This window comes from Homo sapiens, chromosome 15 (genome assembly GCF_000001405.40).
Source record: "Homo sapiens chromosome 15, GRCh38.p14 Primary Assembly".
Taxonomy (NCBI): domain Eukaryota; kingdom Metazoa; phylum Chordata; class Mammalia; order Primates; family Hominidae; genus Homo; species Homo sapiens.
This window is the reverse complement of record NC_000015.10, coordinates 54239606-54266315: the sequence shown is the minus strand read 5'-3', so window position 1 is coordinate 54266315 and position 26710 is coordinate 54239606. Positions and strand designations below refer to the sequence as shown.

The following is a 26710-nucleotide window of genomic DNA, read 5'->3' as shown; positions in this document are numbered from 1 at the left end:
GTTCCAATTGATTTTCCAAACCTATTTCTTAAGACTTCCTTCATCAGGCCATATATGCAAGAAACTCTACTTCTTACACAATATTGCCCACATTCCCAAATAAGCTATATGTTCTGGGTGTATTTACCTACCATGGTAATGAGATTCCTGTTTAAAGCATTTGCAAAGAGAGAACTAAAGAAAAAAGACTGTCTTTAACTCATGTAGGAATTTTTACTTCTACCAAATAACAACTGAAATTCATTTTTTTACAAAGGAGTGTTAAAAAAAAGAACTTTTGAGAGAAAAATGAGTTTCTGCTTTTCAGTAAAAGATGTAAGAGGTTTAAAAATAAATGCCCTCGTGGAATGTGCAAGGTTATAACAGTTATCATCAACCATCTCAATAGTATAAGCTAATGTAGATATGGTTCCACCCCAAGTGATGGGCCAGGAGATGCTCTAAGTCTACTGGCTTTAGATATAAATCTTCAGATGTCAAGATACTGTTAAATCAAGATTACATTTCTGGCTATGTTGGGTCATCGCAAGTTATAGATCATGTTGTGTATCTTTTTTTATCTCCTGCAAAGCCACCCCAGTCATGCCATCTTTTTTTGATTTGAAGTATTCTTCTTATTCACTTGCTTCCAAAGATGAAGGATAAATAATAAATATTATGAGAGTATTGAAGGAGTTTATAACATTACTTTTACTTTTTTATTACTTTTGGGTAAGAGATTATTAAAAAATGAGATAATTATTGCATCCTTTGTATGCCTGTCTTAAATTCATTGTTAAATAATTTAATATTTGTAAAGGTTTCACATTATATACTCACAAATAAAACTTCTCATCCCATACTGGATTCAAATTTCCAAAAATGGTTTTTGTTCTTCTTTTGTTCTTTCCAACTTGAACTGTAACATATGGATCACTAGACCCTGTTTTATCTTTTGCCTGTAGACCCTGTGCAGAAACCACTGAAATAAACCAAAATAAACATTTTAACATACAGAGTCCTCAGAAACAAAAAATAATAATAACAAAGACAATTTTTCTGTCATTTGGTTCTTTGGGCTTATAGATGCATCCCCATTGCTTTCATTCTCATGACTCACAGAACTTTAAAAAAATTTAATAAAAATAAATATACAACATTAAAATCTGTAATTTTTGCCCTTGTCTTTAATGAAAAGTAGCTATATACATACACATGCATATACATATTAGCTATATACTCATACACATTACTGCATACATGTACAGAGGAATGAGGAAGATACACCTACACTTATATGAAAAATTACCCAACATAATTCAAAGGCCTGTAATCCAAACTGATTTATTTATGAGTCTGCCGTCAATATTGATCAACTCTACATAGTTGAGAAAGCATCTTTCTTTATCTTGTAAATACAAAATGAGTAAGTGAAGAGTCTTGGTAAATGTTAACAGGCTGCACAGTCACTCGCTGTTGACATTACAAGCAACTTCAGAAGTCCAATTTACTAGATATCATTAAACTCAAATTGTCCTGACTCGAGGACCAAATGGATGAGGGATGTTGAGCCAGGAGTAAGTAAAATAACATCGCTTTTCTCATTTAAAAAGATTAACTGAACAGATTATTAGCTACTGTTATAATTTATCACTGGTAGGCAACAAAAATGCTCATTTCTTGTACACTGCAGGTGAATATATTGAAAAACAGAAACTTTTTCCTATGAAAGAAATTTTGATTAGAACAAGACACAGACTAAAATTATTTCACTTATCTAGTATGTATTTTCAAAATGTGAAGTACCAACTAGTCTTGTTCATATTAACATGATTCAAAAAATAACCATTTATTTTACCTATAATTATTATTAGCAGTTATTTCTAGGGCACATAAAAATCTCAATTTACAATACAAATTTTTAAGAAGACTTATTTTTACCTGTAATGGTTATTTTTGCAGACCACTTAGATGTCCCATCCAGTACACTCTGTTTGGCCGCCTTTGTAAACTGCACAAAATCTTCTTTAGAAATCTGAAACATTTCCTGGATTACTTCAAATACTTCTGGCCGGTTTTTCTCCCTGATCTTCATTCTTTCTTTCATTGCTGTAATAATGGTCTGAGTCTTGTCTTCGGCACCATGTTTAGAACTCTTTTCTGCTGCTCCTATGATGGAAACATCAATGGTGATGTGAATGGAAATGCCATTACTTTTTGATGGCTAAAGGAGGGAGGAAAAGGAGGAGGAAGTGAGAATGAATGAGTGCTTTCATTCTGTGGAGTCAGGTGGCTTTTTAGAAAAATATCATAATGAACTGCTATGCTGAGATTCACAACAACTAGTACTCCTTTGTGTTATTGGCAGGTAAATTGACCTCCTATGATTCCCAGGCTTTTCTTTTGTATTACTGAACTAAATTAGGTGTTGTGCAAAAATTTGGTTTAAATTTTCTAAAAAGAATTCAAAAGCAGCAAACAGAACAGACACAATCAAATGTGTTACATACCACACATATTTCTTCAATGGGTATCCAAAATAAAATTGAGAAATAGATAGAATATAAGTGGCAAATGTCACTTGGAAAGCAATAATTCAAACACATCACTGTTATTTGCTAAACATTAAAATAGAATGTAAGATTTTACTTGGGAAGAAAATGATTGAGCTGTTTAAAGAAGATTTGGACACTACTAGACTAAATGACCTATAATGTAACTGATAGAACACCGACTCGAACTCTCTTTCTCTAATATATCCAGAGCTTTTAAATGACTGAATACTCATTTTCCACTAAAAACTTTTTTTATTTCTGGGACATTGTTTTTCATGACTGGTCTCAACTTTCTGGGCATTTTTGTTTGTAACACAAATCATTCTGTCAGTGAGAGATTTCTAAAATTCCATTATTGGATCCCTAACCTTAAGCTACTGGCTAGATAGTCTTATTGTTCTGTATGGCCTTCTGGGTTGCCCAGTATTACACAAGTTAATAACGGACCATGATTTCAATTTCCACAATTCCTTAGTGAGTTTAAAGTAAGAAAGCAAAAGGTCATGTACCAGTGTCTACAGGAACTGCCACTGCTAAAATCAAACTTTTTTTGGTACAGAAGCAACTGAAATACAGTGAAAATAATCGAAAGACTTGTGTTCATAGGTAGTAATTGCTCTAATTTTCTTTGACATGACTGTAAGTTTGCCTAATTTGTATTCTCATTTTTTTCTGAACTATTATATTTCTGAGATAGGCATACTAATATCTCATAAACTATTTAGAGATTAAATGGGATAATTTATAGGCAAGCACAATTTCTACAATAAAAGATAATATCAGTAATGTTCTTTGAACCTAATTTGTGAATGTTGAGCCCAATTTAAGTATAGAAAGTAAGACAAGAGATGAAAGGTCAACTATTAACTTTACTTATGATAAATTCATATACAATTTGACAGCAATAATTTAATGTAAATGTTCATTTATTTGAAAGTGTAATACCTGTTTCCTAGAGTGGAAAAATATATTCCTAATAATGAGTGTGAATAGAGGAAGCTAAAAGATATGAATATTCCAGTGGTAGAAAGAGCAGTCTACCTGTCTTTATCTTTTATTTTAAACTTTGAGGACCTAAACGACATTTAAAAAAAAGGAAGACAAAAAAAAGAATGAATTCCACTAAAGATGATTTAAAAGGACATTGTAAATGGTCTACACTGTTGAAACATGTCCCTAGAATAGCTACAAATTTGTAAATTGCATGCAATTAATATGTTTTTAATTTATCAATATTGGTTTACACAGTCCATAATTCTTAAATAGTAAAATTAGCTTAGGCTGGAGTAAATAGTTGAAACTATCTGATAGGCATATTTTATTCAAGTAGTTAATATTCACTAAATGGAAAGGACAGTGGTGACTGGAAAATGTTCCCTGCAAGACACAAAGTGACTCAAAAGTTTGGTCTGTGACAGCCAGGCAAGGAATGTCCTAAAGGTTAGAAATGTCATAAAAATGTTGACTCTCTCCCAAATTTCCAAACAGCTATTCTTATTTTTGCTATTAATGCTCTCAAAGGCTCTAGGAAGGAGTGCTAAAGTCATGGAGAGTTAAATATACTTTGGATTATTTTTCTAAATTCAGGAAGAGCCCATCTAACTACCATGCACACAATAAATGCTCAAACAATAGCTGCCAAATTCAAAGCTAGAATATAAAGAGATTTTTCATCTAAAGGAATCAGACTTCTGTCCTTAACGACTGCCTCTTGTTATTAAAAAAATAATTAGGAAAGCTTGAGCATTAGCTTTCAAATTTCACTTATTCTTATGTATTATTGCTGTTATTATAGAATATCTATTCTAATATGTACAGACAAGAGCAATAAACTGAAATTGCCAATCGGTGGACAGCAGGTTAATAGAGACATATGTTTAAGCATTTTCTCTGTTATTTCTAGAAAAAAAATATGTAGCTTTTAAAAATTTCTACTTATGGCCGGGCGCGGTGGCTCAAGCCTGTAATCCCAGCACTTTGGGAGGCCGAGGCCAGCAGATCACAAGGTCAGGAGATTGTGACCATCTGGCTAACATGGTGAAACTCTGTCTCTACTAAAAATACAAAAAAATTAGCCAGGCGTAGTGGTGGGCGCCTGTAGTCCCAGCTACCTCGAGAGGCTGAGGCAGGAGAATGGCGTGAATCTGGGAGGCGGAGCTTGCAGTGAGCCCAGATGGCGCCACTGCACCGCAGCCTGGGCGACAGAGCGAGACTCCGTCTCAAAACAAAACAAAACAAAACAAAACAAAACAAAACAAACAAACAAAAATTTCTACTTTTGCATTTTTGATCAGAAGAAAATTATTCATCTTAGATTGTTTAGCTCAGAGATAGAGACAAATTCATAATAAATTTTTGTCACTGATTTACAAGTACTTTCCATTGCCCTATGCTTTATCAAACCCACATATCTTATGTTTCTAATGAAACTCTTTCTTAAATAGTTACAATTTGCCATGAATTTCCAGCCCTTTGGGTTATTTTTCTTCAGGCTTATTTGTTTATCTAAAAGTCATCAGAGATAACTTTAAATTTGCTTTTACATGAGTCTTTCTTCAAAGCGTGTGGTAGAAGGTCTAGCAGTGTCATTGAAATACAGTAATATGCCAACCAGAGATCAACAATTGATGAGATCAAAAGAGATAATGTAAACTAAAAGCACTTTATAGAGTATAATATCCAAATGAAATGCATCATTGATACTTTTAAAAATAATTACTTGACAGATAAGACAATATAATTATGGACAACACAACCATAATTCAACCTTAGACAGAGGGGCAAACTGGTTCTCTTCTACGTAATTTAATGGGACAATTAACTAGAACTCATTTTTCTTTAATTTTTATCAGACAAAACATCTAAACTTCAGGTGAAATTAACAATTTTACCATCTTTATATGGCAATTTACAATTTTTGTGTTTTTTTTCTGAAGAAGTATCTATAGATAGTATCTACAAATAATTATAGAATTTATAGATATAATCTAAAAATAGAAGGAAGAATATTGAAGTTGTTATATACGTAACTTTATATATAAAACATATATAAAGTTATATATATATTTTGATTATATGACTATATATAACTTCTTTATATATAAAACATACATATATAAAGTTATATATATAAAAACTGAAAACTACAGGTGTGTGTATGTATATACATATACATACACACATATATACATAATATACATACATATACATATATGTGTGTTTATTATATATAGAATATATGTATACATATCTATGTATACACATAGATATGTATATAATAACTTCAGTGTTCTTCCTTCTTCTCAGTTCTTTCCTTTTGCTATTTTTCTCAACAGCTCTTCCAAAACATTTCTACTCTAAAGTCACCTACCTCACCTCCATTACCCTCCATTCTCAGCATATGATCTTATCTCAACAGGAAATAGAGGTCTTTTAAACTCAACAGTCACATTTTCTCTCCTCTCCTACAGAAACAAACAAAAAAACCCAAACCTGATTTGTAGTATTAGCAGATTTCTGTGGTGTAAATATTTCTAACAGCTGATTCCAAGCAAATGCCTCACAAAATTCTTTCATATTTAACAATCACCATTGACATAGCTACCTGCATATATGTCCATTCCTTATGCTACCTCTTAAGGCCCAAATTTTATTAAATGTGTATTCCAAGTGTCTCACACACTGTTTGGAAACTAGCATACACTCAATAAATAGAGGAAATACTTCTTGGGGGAGCCGAAGATAAAATGATTGGCATAATTGGATATTTACTTTGGCTCTGGGTTAATTTAATGTGTTATGAAATTCTTGCAAACTCCTGCCCTAAGGCCACAATTCTGGAAAAAAAAAACCACAGGAATAAATTGAATATAAAATGATAAATATCCTGTGGAATAAATCTTATGAAAAGACAAAATACACCTGGCCCTTGGGTTTGGATTTGCAATTCTTTGAAAACAGAGGCTGTATTCCCATCATTAGATAACAGAATTTGGTTAACCTACATGCCACGTGCACTTACATAGTCAGCATAAAGCAAGAACATGAATGCCAACTATAAATGGAAGAAATATATAAAGAGTATCACTTTTAAATAAGGTAAAAGTGCACAGTACCTATCAATGCTTCAGTGATATGGTTTAGCTGTGTCCTCGCCCAAATCTGATCTTGAATTGTAGCTCCCATAATTCCCACGTATTGTGGGAGGTACCTGGTGGGAGATAATTGAATCATGGCAGCAGTTGCCCCACACTGTTCTCATGGTAGTGAATAAGTCTCATGAGATCTGATGGTTTTATAAGGGGAAACCCCTTTCATTTGCTTCTTATTCTTTTTCTTGGCCTGATGCCATGTAAGACATGCCTTTCGCCTTCCGCCATGACTGTTAGGCCTCACCAGCCATGTGGAATTGTGAGTCCATTAAACCTCTTTTCTTTATAAATTACCCTGTCTTGGGTATGTCTTTATCAGCAGCCTGAAAATGTACTAATACACTTGGGTAGAGGAGAAAATCTTGAGTGAATCCTGATCTGCCACTTAACTAACTGGCGTAGTCTGAATGTTTGCATCCCATTGAAAGTCATATATTGAAACCTAATCTCCGATGTGATAATGTTAAAAGATGAGGCCTTTGGGAAGTAGCTAGATCATGAAAGCAGAGCCCTCAAGAATGGGATTAGTGGCCTTATAGGCTCAAGGGAGCTCACTTGCCCCTTCTACTATGTGAAGATGCAGCAGGAAGTCAGTAGTCTGCAACCTGGAAGATCGCCCTCCATGGGCCCTGACTGTGCTGAAACCCTCATCTTGGGCTTTCTACCTTCAGAACTGTGGGTAATAAATTTATGTTGTTTATAAGCCCCCCAATTTATGGTACTTTCTTATGCAGCTGAAACAGACTAAGATCCTAACCTTTTAGTCTTGAGCTTGTTAGTTTATCTCTCTCAACTTTAGCTTCTTCATCTGAAAAACAGATAGGAATAGTAGTAGTGTCTCCCTTAACAGTATGAGGATTCAATGAGATAACACATATAGCTTTAATAATAGTAATGGAATAAGTATAGTGATTTCAGCATGTCAAAAAGGTGAAGATATAGGTATTTATTAAAGAACTTCAGGCCAGGAGTGGTGGCTCACATCTGTAATCCCAGCACTTTTGGAGGCCGAGGCAGGCAGATCACTTGAGGTCAGGAGTTCGTAACCAGCCTGGCCAACATGGTGGAACTCCATCTCTACTAAAAAAAATACAAAAAAATTAGCCGGATGTGGTGGTGCACATCTGTAGTCCCAGCTACTTGGGAAGCTGAGGCAGGAGAATGGCTTGAACCCGGCAGGTGAAGGTTGCACTGAGCCGAGATTGTGCCACTGTACTCCAACCTGGGAGACAGAGTGGGACTTTGTCTCAAAAAAATAATAATAATTTCACATTAGTAAGAAATTTTAGGGGTTTGAGCTGCATAATCACTTGACCTCTGAAACAACTGGAAAACTCTCACGCGGACGGTGTCTGCAGTATGCTGGATGCTCTATATCTATTTGCTAGATGAGGGCCAAGGAAGGGCTTAAAGATAAAAGAAATTTGAGCTTAAAAAAACTAGAGAAAATAACTTATTTATTTTTTTGACATCCATAAAGCCTTACCTGCATTTGAGACTGATGGACCCAAAGAAAGTGGGTGGTTAACATCCATTGAAAGCATTCAGAGGGTCTGATATTGAGGGATTTTTGTATTCCTTTCTTTCTCCAGGAGCCTCTCTGACATGGGAAATGGGTCTTTACTGCTTTTCTTTTATTTCCCAGTAAAAACATGTAGGTGGGCCTGCTTTCATTGTCTCTCTGCTTTTTGCCCCCATGAAATCATGTGGGTGGACATTCAGTTGCCATTCCCTACCCATTTCTTTTAGATGTTTTATATCCAAGATAATACGAACCCTCCTCTTTTAACATGCCTTCAGTCTTTTCAAGGAACAGACCTGCAACTCCCCCAGTCTTCAAGTTAGCAGGCTCCTTTTTCTTGTAGAATCAAAGCCACACACTCCTTATTTTTCGCAAACAACAAAGGACTGACATTTAACAGTAGGTAATTGGAGGATCACAGATCTAACATAGCGTCATCTCCCATTCCTGTAGGTGAGAGCCTGTAGGTAACTCTATCACTGACAGTGGGAAAATACAAGAAGGTAGCCCACTCCCCAAGGAACTACCACCTTCTCTAAAATGACCAGTGTCAGGAAGCCTGGCACCAAGAGCCTACAAAAAACTGCCAAACTGTTTTTTCTCTTCTGCCTGTACCATCCCCACCATATTCAATCATCTCATTATTGGTATATGCATACTTTTAGAACAAGTTCGAAAACAAGCATGTTTTGAAAATACAAAATCAGGAATGTGCTCGCATAACAGTATGTTAAAGGTACTACATCTCATCAGCATTTTCTAGAGGTTGCCCAGTCATCACAGAGTCAAAAGCTATCTATATTGTTTAGGGGAACAAATTAATTATGATTCAAAATGTGCTCAATTTTCAAAATATTTTTACTAAGCAAGGAAAGAGAAGAAACCAAGAGAGTGATGGCAGGAGGAAGATATTTTTCTTTGTATCACATTTAGTTTCATAAATTTCTTCATATACTTTTCAAAAAAATACAAAGCAAAAGAAAATTAAACACCAAAAATTTCAAAACAAGATTTATTTCTATTTTTTCATAACTAGACTCTGACTTCTAGGAACTTTGCTAACACAACTAGTTCACAGTGTTGTTCAGAGCTGGCCTGGTACTCATAGCTAGGCTACATTGTTCTTTCCTTGGACGTAAACAATTTCAAAGAGCGCCAAACTTAGACGTGGTCACCCTGCAACAGTGTTAAAGTAAGACAAACAAGGCCGCTTCCTTATTTTTCCTAAGCATAGACAAAAACATAGCACTGCGTAAACCACAAAATATCAAATATTCCCTTTCCTAATTAATATGAGTGGTTGTTGTTGCTTTAGGAAGTATAATTGTTCTCTTTTATCCTCAGGGAATGCATTCCAAAGCCTTCAGGAATACCTGAAACCGCAGATAGTACCAAACTCTATCTTTATTGTATAGTGTTTTCGTTGTTGTTGTCGTTGTCATTGTTTTATTTTATTTTAATCTGATCACCAAGAAAGCTACTAAGTGACTATGGGGTGAGTAACATCTATAGCATGGATACACTGACAAAGGGATGACTTTCCTTCCAAGAAGGATGGCAGATTTCATCATGCTGCTAAAAATGGTGTGCAACTTAAAATTTATACATTGTTTATTTCTAGAATTTTCTATTTAATATTTTTGGACCATACTGCGGAGGACTGAAACTGGAAAGTGAAACCACGAATAAGGTGGGACTACTGTAAAGCTGTGGCTTCAGTCTACTTTGCCTTCCTTCTAGATTAGATGTTTACAGACACAATATCGTAGAATTGTCCTCACTTCCACATAACACCCCATCCAGAGTACACCTCTGTTTTCTAGCACGATCTTGCCGAGATGCCCTATAGTCATCCTGGTGTATGTTCTCCCTCACAGTAATAAGTAATAAAACACACTTTTTAAAACTACGGGTGTGTTCCTGGTGGTCTCTAGCTGGAGGTCATTGACAAGTATTATTAACTGTTTTCACAGATGAGGAAAATGATGCCCAGGGAAGTTTTAAAAACATTATAGTTGCAATAAGACTGGAAGTCAGATTATTTTTAAATAGCTCAATACTATGAAAAAACATGCATTGATATCCATTGAGTATGTTATATAGAATACCTCTACGGCATTATGCAAAGCATATTCATCCTCTTAGTCTCTCTCCAGCAGCCAACCCCATCACCTGAAAATGCTCCATTATTAGTCTATTCCTTTGGGTTAAGGAACTGACCATTGCATTCATTTCCCTTTTAGTGTTGTTGAAAAGTCAATGCAATAACATGCTGGGAGAGAGGTGGTAGCGATATGGAAGGGGGTCAGGGAAGTGCCTGAAGGGGAAGGGCTTGGTCTCTGGCTAGGGCTCCACGCCTGGGCCTCTGCCCAGGGACCTAAGTGAGGACAGGCATTTTTGTTTTCCTGCCCAAATGTTGCATTTCCCAAGAAACCCTGGCCTGCCACGCCCCCATCCTGTGCCTATAAAAACCCTAATGCTCTAGCCAGCAAACACATAGGCAGCGGGATGTGGAGAGGAGCACATCAGCAGAGGAACACACAGGCGGCTGGACATCCAGACGAACACATTGGTAGAAAAAGACACAAGTGGCTGGATGTTGAGAGGACACCAATGGGAGCATGCCGAGTGGAAGAGCACAGGACAGAAATCGTCACGTCGGCAGACTATCAACTAACAGAACGTGGTGGAGTTTGGCCAGGGCAGTCAGAGGACAGCCTGGGCCTCCAAGCGGCCTGACTCCAGGGAAAACCATTTCCTCTGGCTCCCCCATCTGCTGAAAGCTACTTCCACTCAATAAAACCTTGCACTCATTCTCCAAGCCCACCTGTGATCCAATTCTTCCAGTACACCAAAGCAAGAACCCTGGGATACAGAAAGCCCTCTGTCCTTGCGATAAGGGAGGGGTCTAATTGAGTTGACTAACACAGGCCACCTACGGGAAGCTAAACTTAAAGAGCACCCTGTAACATATGCCTACTGGGGCTTCAGCTATAAACATTCACCTCTAGACACTGCCGTGGGGCTCCCTACCCATCTGTATACTCCCCTAGAAGTCTGAGAAGCGGGGCACTGAAGAAGCGAGCTACACCCCATCACACGCCCTGCAAGGAGGACATGGGAACTTTTCCTATTTCAGGAGCATTGAGGATTTATTGGCGGTTGGCTGTAGATGGCGGGTCCTGAGGAGTTATCATGGCGGGGAACTCTTGGAGGCTACAGCAGGCAGCATAGAATGTCTCAAATTCAGGGGTACCCTATGTGCTTTCTCCCATAATAAAAAGTGAGACAGCACTGAAAATAAAATGCAGTAACTTTCCTTTTCTTCCCCCTAGGATTGACTTTGCAAACTTATTTATAAGTTAGGAAAGAACACCAGGCTGAGTTCAGAGACCTGAGTTCTAATCCTGCTTACGCTATTCGCTTGATCCTTTTGATGAGACACTAAATCTTCTGAACTCAGCCAAAGCAGTAGACTGAGTTTCCTAACTCACTAATCTCGAAGCTCCTTTAATAGCGTATGCCTATATGGAAAGATGATATTTAAACCACAACAGGTTATTTCTAGTTGTAGTTCTTGTTCCTTCATTCATTAGTTTAACCACATTTGCTAAGCAGCTCCTTTGCTTAAATGTGTGTTAAGTAGCAGTGGATAAAAGGAATCCTACTTCCAAGTTTCCTGAGTACTCATTACTTAAACATATATTGTAAAATTGTTATTGAAAGAGTAAAATGTCAAAACTTTCCAAGATACATGTTCACATCTGTTCATCTAAGTTATGTATTAGAAAATAAGGTTGAGTCCAGGAAAAATACCACTTACTTTCTTTGCAGCTCTGAGAGCCCAGAATAAAACTCCTACCCACAATAGTTGCTCAATATATGCAAATATTTGACTGTCTTAAAATGTGATTTCAAAATGTGATAACAGGGCAACAAAGAAAGGAGAATCAATATCTAATTTGCAAACAAGAGTATGTTAAACAGGTTTTATTAATGCTACGAATTTATTAATTGCTTGTCTTAGGACATATAAGTTCAACATAATGTCAGTAGAAAGCACGTAGAACTAAAGAACACATCTCACAAAATGCTTCTTTGCTGAGCGTTTCGTGAAATATTTTCTGGCCTTATGCAGGTGCTTGAAATTTCTAGTTAGGAATTAAAAGTAGGCAGAATGCTTATTCAGTAAGACTCTGGGATTCCTTCTTTGGAGATGTGTAAGGAAAGTGCCATGATTATTTGCATTTTTTTCCAATCTCTGTAGCTGTCTTTTTTCTACACTGAAAACATAATCAAGGAAAATATTTTACATATGATGTCTCTTTTACATATGACTCACTCTGCACACAACCCTCATCCCAGCCAACACGGCCTTTTTCTAGTTTAAAACCACCACTGAGGTGCTACAGCAAGTTCCTTACACGTTATGTTAACGTAATTCAGGGTCACAACCTGCTCCTCCATTTATTATAATTAAATTATTTCACCACCAAATGCTTTTTCCAAAAAAGAATTCTAAATGTCTTTTTAGGCGACGAGACGCAAATGAACTAATTAAAGAAAAAGCAGGTGAACTCTGGCTGCTGCCACTGATTTTATTGAAGGAGTATAAATCAGGTCTCTTTTCTCATTGTTCTCCCTGTTTCCATTTGGTCTCCTTCTTACCACCCTGTGTCTATGAGTTTTGGGCCAAGAAGGTGGTAAAATCTATGAACTACCATCAAGTACAATTAGCTAGAGAGGGTGTTAGATGAAGCTCTTTGGGGAATTGACTGGACATTTCCATGCATCTCTGAACCCACAAGGAAGCACTGGAGCAGTGAGTTGGATTTCACCATCACCTGGTCTAATTCCACTTGACTGAAGGTGCACAAGTCACAAACCCAAGACTTCATGGTAAGGAAACACCTAACTTAAATCAATTTGAAGTAACTTGACATACTCTCTCTTTTGCATGGGCCATTGGTCAGACCACATGTAGAGAATTTAATTTCTTTTAGCATGTGTGTGTTGATAGACTGTAATTACTCAGAAAAGAATTAGCAAAATAAAGAGTACTAGAAACCTATAGAAAACTAGATAATTAATTTAAGTACTTGAAAAACTGTCATATTTAATAGAATTCATTAAATATTTTCACCAGAAGTAAGATATGGCGTAATGGGTAGAAATTACAAGGAAAGACTCCTTGGCTTAAATTTTAATTTATGAACTAGCATTCTAAAGTCATGAGTTAAACTGCCTACCAAGGGTTGAAATTTTCCCTGGAAATGTTACGAGATTGAATGGCCATTTTATAAAGAAAATCATAGAACTGTCTTACATTTAAAGGGGGCTGAATTAGCTATACCTTCTAACTCTGATTTTCTTAGCTTTTTATTCTTTCCTTTTCTTCAGTGTTGGCATTCATGAAATTATCTCATATATAGTGTCACCATTGCCATTTTTTTGGCTTAAAACAATGAAGAAGATCAATTTCTTAAGGTAATGTCACTGATTCTGTAGGGAGAATTTCAAATTTTATTGATAGTTATCATGGAAAGTTATGAAGTTAAGTATACATACTTGTAGGACCTCTTTCTGATCAATATGAGAGTGTCAATTTTAGGAAAAAAGTAAAAATGGATTTATAAAAACCCTCCCTGGGGCATGCATACCCACCTTCATTGTTCTGCACTATTTTTGATTCTTCCAATTTATGTGTGCATTTTAATGAATAACATCAATGAAAATTTTGGATTGCATAATTTATTTAACAAATATAAAATAATAAATGTTGTTTTAAGAAATGGAAATAGATTATGAACATGTTTCTACAGTTTAACGAATGGGTAGCATCTGTCCTTTCTGAAAGACTAGAAGAAGAATTCATTTCGTAGGTATGAGTGGCATCATTTTTTTCTCTAAGGAATTTAAGCCATTTGTTCTTAGATGACAGTGTGTTTTCTATTTTCTTAAATGTCATTGCCCTAATATGCTTATTTCTTAAGATGCCTATACGCAATTCACTTTTTAAACAGTTGGGCTGAATTTTAATCAGATTATGAGATTTTGCATGTAAATTAAATGAGTAATATCAAGTCAATCCCCCTTCCTTTAAAATAATTATTCTTAACTATACTTCTTATTTTTCAAATAAAGAATACCACTTCTTTTGCTTAAAGAATGCACTTGTTACCATTAACACAGCCTCAATCTGATCTAATCTTGTATGGAGAATACTAATCAGATAGAGAAAACTTAAGAATGTATGTGATCGTGACTACAACAAGTCAGCTGTGACAGCATTTCTAATTTAATCTTTGACATTTTCCTCTTCTCCCTTCAGTGTCAAGCAATCCACATATCTTACATTGACTACATCCCTATAAACAACAAACAGAGGGCACAATATTTAGATGTGAAAAAATATGATTTGCAAATGAACATCATGTTGAAATATAACTTTTTGGCAATTTTTAAGTGACACTACCAAATAAATAAAGTAGTGAAAAGTCAATTATGTGTATTTTACAATGTGATGCATTAGCATTTCTAGACCTAAAGTAACAAATAAAGGATTTTTTTGGAAATGAAAAATTTAAGGTAACTTGTCATAAAAACCAAAGTGGCATGTACTCATTCAAGAGTGTGAAAGGATGGAAAGGTCATTAATATTTATGGAGCATCTACCGTGTGCCAGGCTCTTAGCAGAGACTATTACATTTAGCCTTTCCAATAACCCTCTAAGGTAAATTTTGTTATTCCTGCCCATAGAGTGGAGAAAAATAAAGCCTCAAGAAGTTAAAATATTTTCTCAAAGTCACATATCTGGTAAGTTACATATGTTGTTGACATTCAAACCCAAGACATCCCATTTCCAAGGCCTGTGCAGGAACTGTAGAAGGACATGGATCCTGCCAGGCAGGCACCAGATAGGCTCGAAAAAAGAATTCCAGTTGCTGTAAATGCAGAAGCATATCTTGATCCCTGTTTGGGGAACCTGATTTTACATATTCCCACTTACCTCATGGAACTATTATGATGTATGAGTAAGAAAATAGATAGGGGCCGGGCGCGGTGGCTCACGCCTATGTAATCCCAACACTTTGGGAGGCTGAGGTGGGCAGATCATGAGGTCAGGAGATGGAGACCATCCTGGCTAACAGGATGAAACCCCGTCTCTACTAAAAATACAAAAAATTAGCCAGGCTTGGTGGCATGTGCCTGTAGTCCCAGCTACTTGGGAGGCTGAGGCCGGAGAATGGCGTGAACCCAGGAGGCAGAGCTTGCAGTGAGTTGAGATCGTGCCACTGCACCCCAGCTGGGGCGACAGAGTGAGACTCCATCTCAAAAAAAAAAAAAAAAAAAAAAAAAGAAAGAAAGAAAGAAAAGACAAAAAAGAAAATAGATAGGAAGTCACTTTGAAGGTTTATGCTGGATGAGAGTGCAATTTCACTCCAGGTACTCACCCTGAGGATTCTAATAGCACCTAGCTCCACACTGTAAGAATGCATCATCAACTGTGATTTGATGGACAGTATGTGTATCTTTGTGTAAGTGGTGGGAGGGGAGCGGGTAGGATTTCTTGACAACCAGCAAGAGTTGAAGTGATCTAACATGAAACAGATGGAATAAGGCAGGCTCTGCATACCACTTTTTCAGCCAAACCAAGTACTCACTCTGCAAGCAGTCAGCGTTTAGCAGGTCCTGACACTTTTCGTGGCATTTCACTCCACACTCCAGACACTTCATGCCTTGCCTTGCAATGCCCCACAGGAGCCCTTCACACTCATAACAGTAGGTGGGTGTGGTAGCCGTCCAGACCTCAAAATTGTGTGGGATGGTAGAAGACATAGGGTAGATCAGTGCCTGCAAGGTCTTCTTGAAGACGTGCATTTTCTGTGAACATGAGAGAAGTTACCAATGCACCGCCAAGTCAGTGGATTTGAATTGTTTCAAAATAAAACAAACCATTTTATCACTTTTCTCTGAAAATGGTATTTTGAGAGAGCCCCTGGATCACTGATTCAAGTCATGATGACAGTAAGCATAATAACTCTGCTAACCTATTCTTCTCTCAATGTTTTAGGGCCCTATTCAGTTATCTGTACACAAAGAACTCCCTAATCTTCCAGACTGGACTGGGCTTCACTGTCTGCAGCTTCTTTCCCAGCAGCACACAGGTCTAATTAGTTGAGAATGTCTAAGTCCCTGCTATGCTGTAAACCCAACGCCTCTTTTACTTTCTACCCAGGCCGTTATTTCCTGACCCCCTTGTCCTCCCTGACACTTCACCCCTCCTCAGCCCCAAGGAATACTTCTGTAATTCAATCTGCAGGAAATTTGCTTTCAGTACCTATCACCGGGGAAGGATCTTATCACCTAATTCATAAGAAAGCATCAGTAGTAGATAAGGTCAAATGAGGCACTCTCCCATGGTGATTTATATTTTAAAAGGAAATAATTTCTAATAGCATATGGAAGGACTCTTTAATGACAAGTCATTAGTGAGGTGAAAAAAAATCTATTGAACAAGTAGGTAGGAGATCTGAGTTCTCCTAGGCCCAACTACATGATATTTAAAAGGGGCCTCTATAAGCAGGAACTGTCTTCCATGTTTTTCTTCTTAGTGCCTGAACAGCTTATCACTGTCCCTGGAACATAGTAGAGGTACATTTCTTTTAATGAATAAACGTTCTGCCACTTATGAATCTTGTAATCTACGGAGAAATGTAAGGGCTCTAAGACTCACCCTCCTCCTCTGCTCTGCTTAAAATGGTATTACTTTGAAGATCAAATTATATAATGATAACAGAAGTAGTCTACAGGCTTCAAAACACCAAATAAGCACTTAGTATTAGTATTGATGCTGGATGTAAAAAAAAAAACAAACCACCAACAACAATAAACACAGGCCAATAGAAAAGAGAATTGGTTAAATGAGTCCTTTTCTATGCTTCTCATATCCCACAAAGCAGGTGACTTCCTGAGAGAAAGACCAGCACTCTTAGAGGTTACATTTACAGATAATTTCACACAACTGCCTGATGCATAATGAATGGATATTTACATAAACCCTGTAGGAAGAGTCTAGCTGGTAAGTCATACTAGAAGGGAAGCATTTATATTTTGAATTAATTATCCTTAAATCTCATTTCAGAATATTTTCCCACAGTGTTGAAATGACTAACTTTCAATTCCACAGTATGGTAACAGCATATTTCCCTTTATTACTACATTCCTCTCACTCTGTGTTTTCCCAGAATATGTTTGGTAATGGTACTAGGAGGTCCCCTACCAGGGAACGGAGCCTCAGTAAAAATGTTTCTAATTTTGAATGGCTAGATCCATCCTTGCTATTAGATAAGGGGCTGGACAATCCAGAGCTCTTTATACTTCAAGTGAGTCTACAGAGCAGCAGTATGGTCAAATTCGGGCATCACTCAAGTGGAAGATCCTAATATTAGGGTTTATTCAGATAGAAAAACTGGATCCATCACTTTTCAATAAAGAGTGTCTGAAGCAAGTAAATCTCCTGGCTCAATAAAGAGTGTCTGAAGCAAGTAAATCTCCTGGCTTCATTTCATAATAAAGATGTCTTATAAAGAACTGTTAAGAGTTCTTTGAGAATTAGAAGCATGTATTATTCACCTTTGCCTCCTCTTTAATATCTAGCATAGTGAGTATCTTCACTATCATTAAAATAAATGAAATAATCCTTGGCATAACAGATTTTTCATTAGCTACCCACAGACAGAGTCTCCCGTTCTAACTGGGCTGAGGGGCTGTGTGTGTGTTTGTGTGCGTAATGTAGCATTTGTGGTCTAGAAGAAAAATTAGGAAGGGAACTAATTTATATACTTGCAATTGCATCAGGCAACTCGTTTGTTTTAATGGCAATAAAATAATAAAAATAGAATAATAAAATATTCTAATTACATGGAATACTGAGTGGGAATAAAACAGAATCTGCTAATGAAAGGAAGAAAAGTAAGTAATGTACCTTACATAAATTTAGAAAGTAGAGTTGGGAATAAGGTTGTTTTTGAACATGAACTTATTCACATATTTCAAGATTAAGTAAATGATTAATATATATGATCTAATTCCCTATGTCCACTTTCCTTTTACTGAAGTCAAGTGATAGTCAGTACTCTAAGTCCATAGATTATAGTAGGAGTAATAAAAATAAGTAACTCTGCTAAAAAATTAAGCATACTGCAGGAAAACAAGTAAAAGCTCTGAATAAACAGCTGAGCAGATTTCATTAAAATGTTTTGTTTGGTTTGGCTAAGGAGCCATAATTCATTTCATGTAAAGGGAGAGTAAAGCTAATTTCCAAAAATAAAAAAAAAAAACATGAAACATTTACTAGACAGCCCATTGAAAAGCAATTGAATGGGGCACTGAAACAAATCCCAATATTTAAGAGCTATTAAAGTTAGAGAAAAACATTAAAACATTAGACAACCTACTAGAGGGTATATATCCCCTTTAATAAGATCTCATCATTTTAGGGAAATGATGAGTCCTTTTCATTCTTGACTTTCGGGGGTATGGGCATGTATTTATCAAAGCTGAAAATTACTCTGAAATAAATGCCATACGAAAACACTCTTTTTTCAGCAAAGTATATGTTGAGTTGATAGTTTAGGAACATGAAATTAATAGGTAGGAAAAGCATATAAAAATAATCTCATAATAGAGGATTCTTGTATTTCAGGGGGATAATGCATCTTGGAGCAAGATGTTTTCTCAGCAGCAAAATCAGGCAAGATGAAATAAGACTATAAGAGGGAAAAAGTGTGGGTTTTTGTGTGGAATAAGGTGAAAAGAGCGAGAAGCATTAAATAAAAGCATGGCAGGGGAAAATAAGGGGAAACCCCAAAATTTGCTATTGATGGAAGCAAATGAAAGTCTATAGTTTACCATTAGGAATCAGATTGAAGGGATGAAAAGCCATTAAACAGAAAAGTAACACTAAGGGCAGGCAGATTAATAATCAGCTGTAAATAAGAGCTGAAGGAGAAGGATGGAACTGAGTATGTTATCAAGAGAGGGTCTCTGGCCTAGGTAAACAACTTGGAATCAGACACATGGAGATTCCTAGAACAAGCAAAACCTAATTAATAGAATTAGGACCCAAGGACAGCAGGATTTGGCAAAATGAGTGACTTGCTGCTTATCTATTTAACTTTTTAAATTTCCAAATTTTATTTTAAGTACAAGGGTACATGTGCAGGATGCGCAGGTTACATAAGTAAACATGTGCCATGGTGGTTTGTTGCACAGATCATCCCACCACCCAGGTATTAAGCCCAGCATCCATTAGCTATTCTCCCTGCTGCTTTCCCTCCTCCCACCCCCACCCTCCGATAGGCCACAGTGTGTGTTGTTCCCCTCTAGGTGTCCATGTGTTCTCATCAGCTGCTAGTCTATTTTAAATGTTTCTAAACTTTACAAATCTTCTACAACTTTGCAAATCTTCTACAATAAAAATGTATTTTCTAAAAAATATGTATTTTAAGATTATAATAAAGTGCATGCTCATTGTAAAAATAATTTATAAAACACAAAGGCACTGATATAAATAATAAAAATATTCAATTTAGCTTTTTAAAGTTAGGCATTATTTGATACATATCCTTCCCATATTCTTTTTTATGTATAGACAGGACGTAATACTCTTGCAATTAGAAAAAAAAAAAAACATTATTTTCACATTGCTTAAGTCATTCCAAAAAAGAAGGCAATTTTTTTTGCTGTTATAGACATCTTGTTTACCTGTAGAAATGAGTAAGGAATGTTTTCACATTCTGATAAGCCTTTGTAGGCAAGCACAACATATAGACTACACTGGGGAGGATGCTCACACCCTAGAGAAATATTTTGTTAGAACTTTCTTCTCCAAAAATTGAATTTAAAGTAAGTTGCACTAATATGTCACTTTTGGAACAATTAGGACACTGGAAGGAAATGAATTGCCTTTTCTATTGATTACTACCTGAAGAAACTAAAAAGAGCCTGAGATTTAAAGGAATCAGGCTACCTGCCAAGAGCAATGACTAGTGTTTTCAGACCATCAATATTCTAATCTACCAACTGTTAATAATTATAACATGAACAAAGCTTGTCTGCCTCCATTTGCCACATTGTTTCTCTCCTTTTTCCTTTCTGTTTTAACCAGTGACTAACCTATGAAGTTCTATTTCCCTCCTCATCCTGTGGAGGAAATAATCCTCCTTGTGATATTATGTAAGCCACACCTTTCCTATACCCCCAAATATCACATTTTGATACTTTCAAGAAAAAAAAATGCTTCTTGTTTTGAGCCATTTTTCATATACTTGATGTACGCTTTCCAGAAAAAAATATATCTACTCTTCGGTGAAGTATAAGTGTTATTTTTTCTGGACAAAAACATCAGAATTTTTGCAGACCAAACATTAGGTATAATATGATCTTTTTGAAATTTGTTATAAACATGAAGACAGAGCAATGCTAGGATAAAATCCTGACTATAAAAACAGACATAATTTCAGTGCTGATTTGCTCATCTAAGTAATCATCCTATAAAACTGATTGACTATAGGAGCTAAAATTATTCAGGTGATTTTTTTGTAGCAGAAAGTACAAACAAAGACTAAAAGTTATATCCTATCTATGTGAGAATGTAAGTAGTTTTCTTTCACTTCTATTGCTTTATAACAGATATAAATTAACATTGTCCTAAGAAACTTATGGGGTGAGTCCAAATAAAGAGGGCAGAACAATAACGTAGATGATTCCTTAATTCAAGGAGAGCACAATATAACATAAGCCCTTTGTTATGACACAGAACATAATCTGAAAACAAAATATGATAGATTTTATGCACTATAAATGTTCTTTTTTCCCAATTCAAACTTTCAATAAAAATGTATACAAGTGATGAGAGTGGTATGAGATAATTAATTTGATAAATACATGAAACTAAAAATACTATGGATTTCTACACTGGGGGAAACTTTAGCCATTTTAATGTGGAAAGTCTAAGATTTACTGCTTGGGGTGGAGACTGCATTCTTATGAGTCTAAAACCAGCATAAGACAAGGATGCCCTCTGTTACCACTCCTATTCAACATAGTATTGAAAGTTCCGGCTAGGGCAATTGGGCAAGAGAAAGAAATAAAGTGTATTCAAATAGGAAGAGAGGAAGTCAAATTATTTTTGCAGAGGACATAATCCTATATTTAGAAAATTCCATGTCTCAGTCCAAAAGAGTAAGCTTTTAAGCAAATTCAGCAAAGTCTGAGGATACAAAATCAATGTGCAAAAAATGAGTAGCATCTCTATACGCAAACAACAGGTAGGCAGAGAGCCAAATTGTGAACAGACTCCCATTCACAATTGCTACAAAAAGAATAAAATACCTAGCGATACAACTAACAAAAGAAGTGAAAGACCTCTTCAAGGAGAACTACAAACTACTGCTCAAGGAAATTAGAGAGGAAACAAACAAATCAAAAAACATTCCATGTTCATGGATAGGAAGAATCAATATTGTGAAAATGGCCATACTGCCCAAAGTAATTTATAGATTCAATGCCACTCCCTTTAAACTACCATGAATATTTTCCACAGAATTAGAAGAAACTTTTTAAAAATTTGTATGGAACCAAAAAGAGCCTGAATAACCAAGACAATCCTAAGTAAAAATAACAAAGTTGTAGGCATCACCTTACCCACCTTCGAACTATAGTACAAGGCTACGGTAGCCAAAACAGCACGGTACTGGTATAAGAACAGACACATAGACTAATGAAATGGAATAGAGAAATAAGAAACAAGACCATGCACCTTCAACCATCTGACAAAACCTGACAAAAACAGGCAATGAGGAAAGGATTCCCTATTTAATAAATGGTGCTAGAGAACTGGCTAGCCATATGCAGAAAACTGAAAGTGGACCACTTGCTTACATCATATACAAAAATTAACTCAAGATGGATTAAAGACTTGAATATAAAACCCCAAAACTATAAACACTCTAGAAGAAAATCTAGGCAGTACCATTCAGGACACAGTGATGGGCAAAGATTTCATGACAAAAACGCCAAAAGCAATTGCAACAAAAGCAGAAATTGACAAATGGGATATAATTTAACTAAATAGCTTCTATGCAGCAAAAGAAACTAAAATAAGAGTGAACAGGCAACCTACAGAATGGAAGAAAATTTTTGCAATCTATCTGTCTGACAAAGGTCTAATATCCAAGATCTATAAGGAACTTAAACAAATTTACAAGAAAAAAAATAAACAATCTCATTAAAAAGTGGGCAAAGGACTTGAACATAAATTTCTCAAAAGAAGACATTCATGCAGTCAAAAAAACATGAAAAGAAGCTCAACATCACTGATCATTAGAGAAATGCAAATCAAAACCACAATTAGATGCTTTCTCATGCCAGTCAGAATGGTGATTATCAAAAAGTCAAAAAACAACAGATGCTGGCATGGTTGCAGAAAAAAAGGAATGCTTTACACTGTTGGTGGGAATTAAATTAGCTCAATCATAGTAGAAGACAGATTCCTCAAAGATCTAGAGGCAGAAATACCACTTGACCCAGCAATCCCATTACTGGGTATATACCCAAAGGAATGTAAATCATTCTGTTGTAAAGATACATGCATGCAGATGTTCATTGCAGCACTGTTCACAATAGTAAAGACATGGAATCAACCCAAATGTCCATCAATGATAGACTGGATAAAGAAAATGTGCTACATATACACCATGAAATACTATGCAGCCATAAAAAAGGAATTAGATCATGTCCTTTGTAGGGACATGGATGGAGCTGGAAGCCACCATCCTCAGCAAACTAATACAGGAACAGAAAACCAAGCCCCATATGTTCTCACTTATTAGTGGGAGCTGAAGGATGAGAACACGTGGACATGCGGCGGGGAATAACACACAATGGGGCCTGTCGGGGTGGGGGTGGGAGGAGGGAGAGCATCAGGAAGAATAGCTAATAGATGCTGGGCTTAATACCAAGGTGATGGGTTGATCTGGGCAGCAAACCACCATGGCACACATTTACCTGTGTAACAAGCACATCCTGCACATGTATCCCAGAACTCAAAATAAAAGTTGACGGAAAAAAAAGAGAAGAATGTTTCGGATTTTATAAAACAAAGGTGAGGAGGGGGCTGACCATTCCTATAAATAGATCCCATGTAACTGTCCTTTTATGTAACCAATCAAAGTCAGTCAGGGAACCATGGAAAATTGTGTGGTGAAAAATTGTTAATCACAAAATTAACTAACTTTTAGTATGTACTTATGCATCAAAAATGGATACATGGTTAGATTATTATTATTACTATTATTCACTTATGTTGTAAATATTACTTTGTGTATATGCAATAGTTAATAAGAACCATTAAAATCAATAACTATATGTTCAACTCTATAACTTAGAAAAGTAGTTTCAGAGTGAAAACAAAGAATAAAAAAATCTAAAAATGACAAGAGCATAAATAAATGAAATAGAAAACAAGGAGATAATATGGAGTCAACAAAGCAAAGCCAGAGAAATTTCCTGCAGTTTTAATTTTACAAAAGAGAGAGAAAATACACATAAATAATAATAGGATAAAATGGCACACATTTTTGTATAAACCATGATATAATTATATAAACAATTTGATGGTATTAAATTCAAAAATTTAGAAAAACAAGACAACTTGCTGAAAAAATATAAATTGTCTAGACTAACTCAAGAATGAATGCTTAGGGAACATAATCACTATATTAAATAAGTTGATTCAACAGTCAAAAAATTACTCTCAAAATAAGTACCATATTCAGGTGGTTTTGGAGGACAAGTTTTGCCAGTCCTTCAAGATACAGAACTTATTTTATAGAAACCATCCCAGAGAAGGAAAAAAAGGAAATCTTCCTCACTTATCTTATTAAGCTAGTTTAATAATGATGCCAAAATTGTTCAAGAACACAGAAAAACATAGTCATTTTTACCTTATGATGCAAAGTAGATGCAAAAATATGATATAATTAGTAAACATATAAGAAAATCAAGGACATGAAAGTTTCCATAACTTGCCCTAGGCCCTACAGAAGGTAAATTGTAGAACTGGACCAACATGGATCTCAAGTCAAAGTCCGTGCTTATGAAGAATAACAGAACCAACAGCAATACTTGCAGACAAGAGATAATCTTTACTTTGGTGTCATTATTGCTGGCTTCCATGTCAGTACTTCCTGGAAAGGAAAATTACCCTCAGGTGCAAAGAGGGCAGGGAGGCATTAGACTCAGCATGTATTCTGCAGCCCCGATCACAAGTTCCTGCCCTACTGCGCTGATGGCCACCTGCCATGCCGGCCACTGTATAAAGAGAAAAGGGGGAATGGGAAGGGTTTGACTAAACAAAGAGCTTTCTACATAAGCTATTTCTTTTAATTCTCACAAACTGTGAGGTAACTATTATTACTTTCATTTTATTGATGAAGCAAAGTTATCTCAGGAAGGTGAAGAATATTGAGAAGAAACAAGTAGTCAAAGCTAGTGAGAGGTGGAGTTGAGATTCTAATTCAGGCCCCTTTCACTTCAAAACTTATCCAGGTGGCCTGAAAGTGTTCCTGTTCCTGAGCAGGGGTCTGAAGTACCTGGGTGTGCTGTAAGCCTACAGCTCTGGTTGAAGTTGAAGTCTCAGAGAGGTGTTCTGAGCAGTTTTCTCCTTCCATGTTATCTTTCTAGTGTCATACTAGAAATAGGGCTCCGGTTTGATCTCCTGATTACCTCCACATCTAGTTCTTTTCAGTCCCTTTCACGAAGTCTGAATCCTAGACAAACTTCCCCTTACTGAGAATGAACACTTCCTAGAAGCCTGCCAGCCTTAACATGCCCATCAACCCAGACAGAACCAACAGGGCTCTAGGATCCCTCTTATGCTTAGTCATTTTCATTTCTCCCTCTACCTGGTTTCCCATAAACCTCATCTGAGACTATCTTGGTTTAAACGATCTTGCCTACTAGAAGCTTCCATGTGACTTGCAGCAAGAGTGGATACAAAATTAAGTATCTCAATCCCCCTCCCACTGTATGGTAAGCCTCATGAAAGTAGAGATTTTTGGCTGAGTTGTTCGCTACTTTATTTCCAGTCTGAAACAACACCTGACACATAGCAGATAGTCAATAAGCATGTATTGAATTACCGAATGGATATACTTTGATTGCCCCACTGTCAGATTCACACCTAAGAAATTATCAGTCTGTGAAACTAAAACAGAGATGGATAGCGGAGTGCTAGGGAGACTACTGCTATGGTATTTAGATGCTAGATTGGTTGGTCCTCCCTATGTTACTAAGCTAGATGGAAATTTTCAGAAATCATAATCCTTAACAGCTTATTAAGCTGAGATTCTCAATCAGTCCTAATAGCGCCTCATGGGTAAGGTGGAGTTGGTGATGGATGGGGGCACTGGCGATGCTTCACCCATGGCCAGCAGAGCGTTAGTGAAGGAGGCAGTGCTAGGTGACCCACTGTCATCCTGCATCAGGCATTAGTGTCTGTTCTGTCCTTGGAAAAGATGACTGAGCTTCAAAGTGTACATTTCTTTAATTAAAATAGAAGTGGTACCATTTGATATTTTCCACATCACCAAGCCATTTCCCTTCACATAAAAGCAAATATTTTATGCTTTTGTATCAAGTGTGCCTAGAAAGATTTTCAGCACCAAGAAGTGCAAATTATTTGCTCCAGCATTTATGTTAGTTGCCTGTGTAATGACTGAATGCGACAGCTCGTCAATAGTGACATTTAATATGCCTGTTGTACAGAAGTCATAGTTCATTTACTTTTTGAGGCATGAGTCCCAGGGAAATGGGCTTTACGAATCTGAGACATAACTGATGGATTCTGTTCATCCATTCAACACCAACACAGTTTTTTTTTACTGAAGCCTTCTGAAACTAAAGGAGTAAAGGTGATATTTTTAAGTTGTTGAAAAGCAGATCAATAGCTAATTTAACCTTAAAGCGAGGATATGTTCCCTGTCCAGGACTCAGAAAATACACTAGCATTCCACTAATTTCTATGCTTTCCTGTTAACTTGTCAAATGAATTGGTATTCATAGTTCAAATCAAATACCATGTTTTAAAACATAAGAAAGGTACAGTGTAGGAGTTTATCAATAAAATTCTTCAGACTTTATTATTTACTCAAAAGAAGACTAGATGCTTTGAGATTCAGCAAGCAATATGCAGCTTTCTCCTACACCAGAGGATGTCTGCTTTGTCTTGTGCCCAAACTATACTCAAAATATTACATGGCATCATAAATCTAACAGATAAGAATAAGGAGGTGGGGGCCATGGTGGCTCACACCTTTAATCCCAGCACTTTGGGAGGCTGAGGTGGAAGAACTGCTTGAGCCCAGGAGTTTGAGACCAGCCTGGGCAACAGAGTGAGACCCTGTCTCTAAAAAAAAAAGGAAATATTAGCTGAGTGT

General features: G+C 36.4%; 1 protein-coding gene across 7 annotated transcripts in view; it reads right to left on the bottom strand.

Moving 5' to 3' along the window:
* Window positions 1–26710, bottom strand: part of UNC13C (unc-13 homolog C) — a 795839-nt gene that overhangs the window by 367125 nt on the left and 402004 nt on the right. For all 7 annotated transcript variants that reach the window (XM_047432538.1, XM_017022220.2, XM_017022221.2 and 4 more), the window contains 3 exons: window positions 15872–16091; window positions 1921–2148; window positions 820–961 (listed from right to left, as the gene is read on the bottom strand). In XM_047432538.1, coding sequence (XP_047288494.1) covers window positions 820–961; window positions 1921–2148; window positions 15872–16091 — 590 coding nt within the window. The remainder of the gene's footprint in view (window positions 1–819; window positions 962–1920; window positions 2149–15871; window positions 16092–26710) is intronic.